The sequence below is a fragment of the Homo sapiens genome, chromosome 1, assembly GCF_000001405.40.
Source record: "Homo sapiens chromosome 1, GRCh38.p14 Primary Assembly".
Classification (NCBI taxonomy): domain Eukaryota; kingdom Metazoa; phylum Chordata; class Mammalia; order Primates; family Hominidae; genus Homo; species Homo sapiens.
Genome location: NC_000001.11, coordinates 229,894,387 through 229,902,785, shown reverse-complemented (window position 1 = coordinate 229,902,785; position 8,399 = coordinate 229,894,387). Strand labels below are relative to the sequence as shown.

At 40.4% G+C, this 8,399-nt stretch overlaps 1 long non-coding RNA gene across 1 annotated transcript; it reads left to right on the top strand.

The window, feature by feature from the left end:
- The first annotated feature begins 2,105 nt into the window (after window positions 1-2,105).
- LOC105373163 (uncharacterized) lies at window positions 2,106-6,066 on the top strand. Its single transcript, XR_949257.3, has 2 exons — window positions 2,106-2,887; window positions 5,130-6,066. It is a non-coding gene; the product is annotated as an uncharacterized LOC105373163 (long non-coding RNA).
- Window positions 6,067-8,399: the final 2,333 nt, after the last annotated feature.

Sequence of the window (8,399 nt, the reverse complement as noted above, 5' to 3'; positions counted from 1 at the left end):
TAGGATACTTTGGATATAGCATAAGAACCTGGTAACATTATAGTTCTATTTTCTGCCTCCCATACTTTAAGCTGTTTTTGTCATACTATTGCATATGTTATAAACTCCAAAATTCACTGTTACTATTTTGCTTCAGACAGAATATTTTATTTTCAAAATGTATTTCTTATAAAATAATACAAAGTAAGAAAAACTGTTTTATATTTACCTTTATTTTTACTATTTCTAAAGCTCGACATTTCTTTGTGTATTGCTAGAGCTCTTCATTTCCATCTGGTATGTTTCTGCTGCCTCAAGGACTTCCCTTAATAGTTCTTATTGTCCAAGTCTCCAGGCAATGAGTTCTATTAGCTTTTTTGTCTGAAAAAAATTTTTATTCTGCCTTCATTTTTCAAAGACGTATTCACTGGATATAGAGTTCTAAGTTGACTTTTTTCTTTTAGTACCTTAAAGAAGTAGCTGCATTGTCTTCTGGTTTGTCTACTTTCTGACCAAAGTCTGCTTGATATTCACATCTTTGTTCGACTGCATTTAATGTTGCTTTTTCCTTTGACTGCTTTCAAGATTTTCCCTATATCTTTGGTTTTCAGAAGTTTGACTATACTGTGTGTATGTGTGTGCATGTGTGACATCCTCCTTGAGATGCTTTGAATTTTGTGTATCTTTGCTTTGTCATTTTTTATTAGTTTTTAAAAATTCTCAGTCATTATCTCTTCAGCTACTTCTTATATCTGTTTCTCTATCTCCTCTCCTTCTAGAATTCTAATGATGTATTTTTATTCCATTTGATAACTGTCTCACAGCTCTTACTGTTTTGGGTTTTTTAATTCTTTTTTTTTCTTTTTGTCCTGTTTTAATCATTGACCTATCTTCAAGTTCACAGTTCTTTCCTCAACAATGATGTCCACCTTCCCTTTAAGTATGTAAAAGGAATTCATCTTTGATAACATGGGTTTCTTTTAAACATTTCTAGCATTTCCACTTGATTTTTTGAAAATCATTTCCACCTCTCTGCTAAAATTTCCCATCTGTTCATGCAAGTTGTCCACGTTTCCCAACAGATCTTTTATCAGTTATAGCTATGATAAAGTCCTATCTGATAATTCTTTAACATTTGGGTCATTTCTTAGTCTGTTTCTGTTGATTGATTTATCTCTTAACAATGAAGTCTTTTTATTTGTTCATGTGTTTAGCTTTTGTGTATTTTATAGCTATTCATCAAATGAAGAATATTTTAAGAAAAACAGTAGAAACAAAGATAAATAATATTTATCCCTGAAAATGGATCACTTCTTTTCCTGTCAGTCCATCAGCATGTGTGTGTGTGTGTGTGTGTGTGTGTGTGTGTGTGTGTGTGTGTATGTCAGTTAATCTAGTCAGTTGTTCAACTAGGTTGTTGCTTGCTATAGTCACCTTAGGGGCACCCAGACTTCTATCTCCTCCAGTGAAGAGCTGGTGGTTTTCTTCATATTGTGGTATCTATGGTGCTAGTGGATTTTTCCAAATGTTCTTGTTTCTCTCTTAGCTTTCAGTGACCACAGAAGGGTCTTTTTCTTGCTTCTTCCCCAGTAGTAGACTGACCTTGTGTGTTACTTGGTATGAGGCTCATGGTGGAGGCAGGGGGTGTTCTTGATTCTCCTCAACCAGCTTCTGTCTTTAGCAGGCCCTGTGCATTTGGATCACCTTGGGAATGGAAGTGTCTCATTGTTACCATTCTACCTACCCCACCTCTTGGGAATGGAAGTGTCTCATTGTTACCATTCTACCTACCCCACCTCTTGGGAATGGAAGTGTCTCATTGTTACCATTCTACCTACCCCACCTCTTGGGAATGGAAGTGTCTCATTGTTACCATTCTACCCACCCCACCTCTTGGGAATGGAAGTGTCTCATTGTTACCATTCTACCTACCCCACCTCTTGGGAATGGAAGTGTCTCATTGTTACCATTCTACCTACCCCACCTCTTGGGAATGGAAGTGTCTCATTGTTACCATTCTACCCACCCCACCTCTTGGGAATGGAAGTGTCTCATTGTTACCATTCTACCTACCCCACCTCTTGGGAATGGAAGTGTCTCATTGTTACCATTCTACCTACCCCTCCTCAGGACAGCCAAACTGTGCGTTGCATCTGGTTGGGTCTTTCGGAGCAAGTGCTATGAGAGTTTTCTACTCTTCCTCCAGAGGCAGATAGGTGTGCTTCTACCCCTCCCCAGCAAGTGGTGAATCTCTGCCTGTTCTCCAGAAATGGGAGGGTTTCCTCTTCTAGCAACTTAAGGCTTATACCTCTTATGAGACGAAGATCTGGGAAATGGACAGGGTTTTGTTTCTGCCCCCCAGTGGCAGCTGATTACTTCTGGCATGCCTGCACCACTAAATGTGGCTGTCTCTAGTTTTCTGCCCTGCCCCCTATATTTCTTGTGTGTATCCAGTGGAGACTCATGGATAAGAGCTTGAGTACAGACTTCCCATTGAGTGTGGAACTCCAGAATATTCTGAACTGTCATGATAGTCTACACTTGGCCTTTATGAATTTGTTAAAAGTTTCTGCTTTCTTCTCATCCACTTTTATGATGGCAGCTTTTGGATTCTGCTGAAGGTGAAACCGTTTGTTCGAACTATCTCTCCTTAAAGGGGCTCATCACTCTTCGGAATTCATTCTACCTCTTTTCCTGGAAAACTCAGCTCTTTGATGGGCTCAAAAAAGTTATCATTTTGCAGATTTACCTGCCTTTTTCTCATTGTTATGGTAGGAGTGACATTCTCTTGTGGCTTTCTACAAACTGAATAGAAATAGATCTCCTAGGGAAGGTGGAAGGCTTTTCATTCAAAAAATCTATTTCTTTAGTAGATACAGGAACATTAAAATTGTCTTCTTCATCTTTGGTAAGTTTTATTTTTCATTAATTTGTTCATTTCCTGTAAATTTTTAACTTTTGGCATAAAGCTGTTCATAATATTCTAACGTTATCTTTTAATTTTTAATAACAGAATCAGCAGTAATGTTGCCTTTTTTATTTTTGATATTGGTTTTTTTTTAACTTGTTAAATTTTATTAGACTTTTCAAAGAATGAACTCTTGCCTTTGGTGAGTTTCTCTATTTTATACATATTTTTTGTATTTTTATTTTTTTCTCATCTAAATATTCAATTTTTCTAATTTCCTTGGATTTAATTTGCTGTTTATGTTATAACTTCTGGTGATATCAGCTTATTAATTTTCAACATTATCTTTTATAATATATGCATTTATAGCTACTCTTTCCTTCCATGCATGGTTTAAGTACATTTCATTAGCTTCTATATGTAATGTCATCCAATTCACATATTTCCATTGTGATTTCTTCTTTGACCCATAGAATATTTAGAAGTATATTTATTTATTTCCAAACTAATGAGAATTTTCTATTTAACTTTTCTGTTATTTATTTATAGCTTAATTAGCTTGTCATCAAAAAACATACCCTGTATTATTTCAGTCCTTTAAAATTTGTTCACACCTAAAGTATGAAAAATCTAGCACATGGTAAATTTTTGTATTTTAAAAAATATTGTTATACACAGTTGCTATTGAGTAGACTGCTTTATGTATGTACACATATACACATATTAATTTGGTTAAGTTTATTCCTTGTTTTGGCCACTTCTATCTCTTTACTAATTTTTTTTTCTGCCAATCACTGAGAGAGCTGAAAATTAAAATCTTCCATTATAATTGTGAATTTGTCTATTGTTTTGTGGTGAGTTCAGTCAAATTTTACTTTGTACACTTTGAAGCTATTTGGTATGTCCAGATTTAAAATTGTTTTAACTTTGTGGGAATCAAACCTTTTATTAGTCTACAAGACTTGAGTAGAACAGACTTTTTTTTTTTAAAGAGAGGGTTTTGCACTGTCACCCAGGCTGGAGTGCAGTGGCACAATCATAGCTTACTGCAGCCTTGAACTCTTGGGCTGAAGCAATCCACCTGCCTCAGCCGCCTAAGTAGCTGAGACTACAGGCACATGCCACCATGGCTGGCTAATTTTTTAAATTTTTTGCTGAAATGGAGTCTCGCTGTCTTTGCCTAAGCTGATGGCAAACTCCTGGCTTCAAGTCATCCTCAAGCCTCAGCCTCAGATTACAGATGATAGCCACCATGCCTGGCCCCTAAGTACAGGATAGATCATTCTTAGTCCCACTATTCTGAATTATTGGTTTGTCTGATCAACCCAACTACTGAGCTCTCTTAGACTCTGAACTCAAACTCCTTGGTTTTAAATATGGATTCTGTGTGTCCTTGGGCAAATTACTTAAACTTTTTGTAGCTTTCTTTCATTAGTAAAACATATAAAACAGGGTTGCTATGAGGATCAAATGAGTATGTTAATTAACTAGTATCTAGCATATAGTAAAAGCTCAAAATAAATATTAGCTACTAATATTCTTTACTTGATTAATCTGGGGATGCAGTTTGACCTCAGCTTCTATTTCAGAACAGTTGAAAATCAATGACAGTTTCTATAGTAAGGGACTTCCTGATTTTGAAGATAAAGCACCTCAACTTGGATAGGCAAAGATGAACTCTTTCCTCAAACTGCATGACTTAGATGACATAAAAATAGCTTTGGAATAGTATATGTTGGGTTTTTATAGGTCATATTATAGTGACAAATTACATCCAGGAATCTCAGTTTGCTTATCTCTAAAATTGGGTTATTATAATGCCGACTTTGCTTGTTTTACATGGCCATTATGAAGTCACAGCTATAAAAGTACTTTAAAAATTGTAAAGTGCAATGGCAATGTGGGTATGATTTCTGTGATCATTTTTTAATGTCACATATCAGAAAATTCCTGAATCTTCTTATTTAAAATAGGAAGATCAGAAGTCAAATTATAAGGAGTGTATGGGCACATGTGCGCACACACACATAGAATTTGCTTGCTGAAAGGAGAAAGTAGTATCTGCCAGCTGATTTAAATCTTTCACTTGAATAGCTCTGCCCCAGTAGTCCTCGCTGCCAGCAGCTCCTTTTGCAGCAGCTGAAGTAGAACCAGGCGGAGTTGTCGAGTTCTTGGCTTATTGGATGCCGACAGGCCTGGAGCAGAGAAACTCAATTGTTCTAACGTTCTCACTCCTCCTCAGGGGACTGTGGCTGTCAGTGGAGTAACGAGAAAGAGGAACAAAGATGGGAAAAGACCAGCAGCTATTTGTGAGGCTGTGGCCATTCCTGCCTCCACCCCCAGACCACCTGCTGAAGGGAGAGATGTTAAAAAGAACCACGTTTTCCATTCCTCAAAGCCAAACAAACACAGAGAGTCGGCTGAGCCTCTCTAAATCAGTGACTGCCAGGGGAGTAAAATGCTGAACCCACCAAAAGGCCACATCTGCGAAATAAATCCATGTCCTGAGAGTCAAATCAAAACAGATGTGGTCCCACAGCAGGGACCCCTCCCATGGAGAGACACATCTACCTCGGTCCTACCCAGGGCCCTTTCTCGTTGAGAGATCTGGCCAGGTTATGAAAACCATTTACTTCCATGGTGACTCTTCTTCAGTGATGCTGGCTGGAGCCCAGCCCTCCTCAGGTCACTTAACCACACCATCTTAGGGAGCCCAGCCCACTCTCAGCCTAAAGCCATCAGTGAAAGTGCAAACTCAGGGACTGCAGTCAGTTAGACTCAACAGCTCTCATCCCCCAGGTCCTGTCCACAGGCTCAGCGCGCTATGTCCTGCCCTGCCCACGCTGGGGTCAAGAAAGGAAGTTTTGCTCATCTTCCAAGGCCCAGCTCAGCCGCCCCCTTCTCCAGAGGCTTCCTCCTTCTCCAAGGACAGATCTGCTACTTATTTGCCTCTTCCCACAATACTTTTTTGAAAATCTTTTCCACAGAGAGCCCCAGGGATCCACTCGCTGGCCTCAAGGATTTGTGAATTCCTAAAATGTTGTGTGGATTTTCGTATATGAGCATCTGTATGTTTTTATCTAAGGAGAAAACAACGGATAGCTTTATCAGGTTCTTAAAGAGGTCTATGTCCTAAAAACATTTAATATAAATATGAATATGACTCTACTACAGTATAACATTTATAGCACAGTGTGTGTTGTGATGAAGAGTTCCAAGCCTGTGCTCCTTGCTAACCTAGAAAAACCTTAGGTGACATCCCTGGGCTGTGGCCTGTAAGACAGTGCTCCCTAAATCATTGCTAGATCAACGCTGGATAAGTAACATCTCCCTCCTTGGAGACGTTAGCATTCAAATTACTCACAGTCCTTCACTCTTGCATTTCCTAGATGAGTTGTCAACATTTATCTTGCCTGCACTTGCATACCATTTATTCATCTCATCAACCCCACAATCTGTTCAGTCCAAACATACTACTGATACTGCTATATTTAAGGTGCACACTGACCATATAATCTCAGCTCTCACCTTGATCTCTCTGAAGCATTTGGAAGTGTGGACACTGTTAAATTCCATCTTTCTTGAGACAGTCTCTACTCTTACCTTCCACAAAATTATTCACTCTCCACAAATATTTATTAAATACTTAACATGTGCCCAGCAGTGTTCTGGGTCCCTGGGATACATCAGTGAAAAGAAACAGACAGAAAAAAACCATCACCCTCACAAAATTTCCATTCTAGGGGTGAGGGTGGGGGAGTGAGGGGCTGGGAGGGGTGAGAAGAGGAGGAATCTGACAGAAAATAAACAATAAATGTAATAAATGAATAAAAGGTATGGCATTGTAGAAGGTGTTAAGTGCTATGGGAAAGACAAGCAAGAGGAAATGATAGGTAGGTAGAGAGCTGGGGAGTTTGCAGTGGTCTTCGTGAGAAGCCTCGTTATGAAAATGACATCAGAGCAAAGATGTGAATGATTCCTGGGGAATCACCAGAGGTTTGGGGGGAAAAGCAAAGTTGGTTTGCTGACTAAGGCACTGACTAAGGAGCAGCATAAAAACAGCATGGAACAGCCTAGAACAATCTGGAACAGCCTAGAAGAGCCTGGAGCAGCTTAGGAGCGCCTGAAGCAGCCTGGAACAGCTTATAACAACCTGGAGCAGCCTAGAACAGCCTGGAGCAGCCTAGAACAACCTAGAACAGCCTGGAGCAGCCTGGTACAGCTTAGAAAAGCCTGGAACAGTCTAGATCAACCTGGAACAGCCTAGACTAGCCTGAAGCAGCCTAGAATGGTCTGCAGCAAACTGGAGCAGCCTGGAATAGCCTAGAACAGCCTGCATCAACCTGGGAGCTCATATGACTGGGTGGGTGACAGGGGAGGGAGTGGCGAAAGGTAAGTCCTGAGAGGATGGCCTCACAGGTTTCTGTCAAGACTTTGGCTTTTACCCTGAGTAGACTAAGGAGCTACTGAGGGCTCTGTGAGAAACTGGGCTGTCTAAATGCTACTTACTCTGACTTCTGTGTCAAAAACAAATGGCAGGACATGTTGAGGATGAGAGCCTCAACATGTCCTGAGGGATGACAACCCTCAGGAACCTCTGCAGATGATGGCTATGCAAGGTGGCAGCAGAGGTGAGAAACATTGGGATTCCAGATACAGCTTGAGGACAGAGCCAACCCCATGTAGTCTTGGATGCCCCTTATCTTTCAGTCCTTTGATTCCATCTCTCTTCTTTCCTGCTCCCAAGCCTGCTGTCTTCTCTTTCTCATTGCACTCTCTTCCTTGGTAAACTCGCTTACTTAGGTGGCTTACCTATGCTCTCACAGCTAGGCAGGGAAGACTCCCCTTTTCTTCCACTTCTACGACAACATAGCTTCCATAGGTAGAATGCCATGACCAGTCTTTTTAGCTCTTGAGTATAGTTTCAGACCAAGAACCCAGGTAGCTTTGTTCTCAACCCCTGAGCAAGCCAGCTCTGTCCTGTCCTAAAAACAGAACCAACTCTCTGGACTCCAGCTTAGAATAAGGAAGACAATACTTCACAGAGTGCATTCTTATTTACTAACCTATTATTTAGTTAGACTCCAACAACAACCCTGAGATATAAGCAAGGCAGGAAGAATTACATCCTCTCAGGAATTAGTAAACTAATAGATTGAGTGACTCATCCAAGGATGAAGTCAGTGAGCAGTGGGGACAGGACTACAGCTCAAATCTCCTGGTTCCCAACAACAATACCTGCTTTCCAATCCCTAGAATCCCAGACCCTTTTCACAACAAGGAGTCTTATAAAGCAGAAATAAGAGCACCCCAGTTTTCTGTGCATTCTGGCAACAAAGTAATTGTGAAACTGAGACAACTTCTCAGGACTGCTCCACATTGCCCTGGAGCTCAGGCTCAGCTGGAGTCCCCGAAAAAGCTCCCAGTGAGGGCTCCCCTTCCTCCTGCAGCTCTGTGAGAAAAGTGAAACCCTGCCAGCCCGGATGGGATGTGAGCCTATCTTGCCATTGAC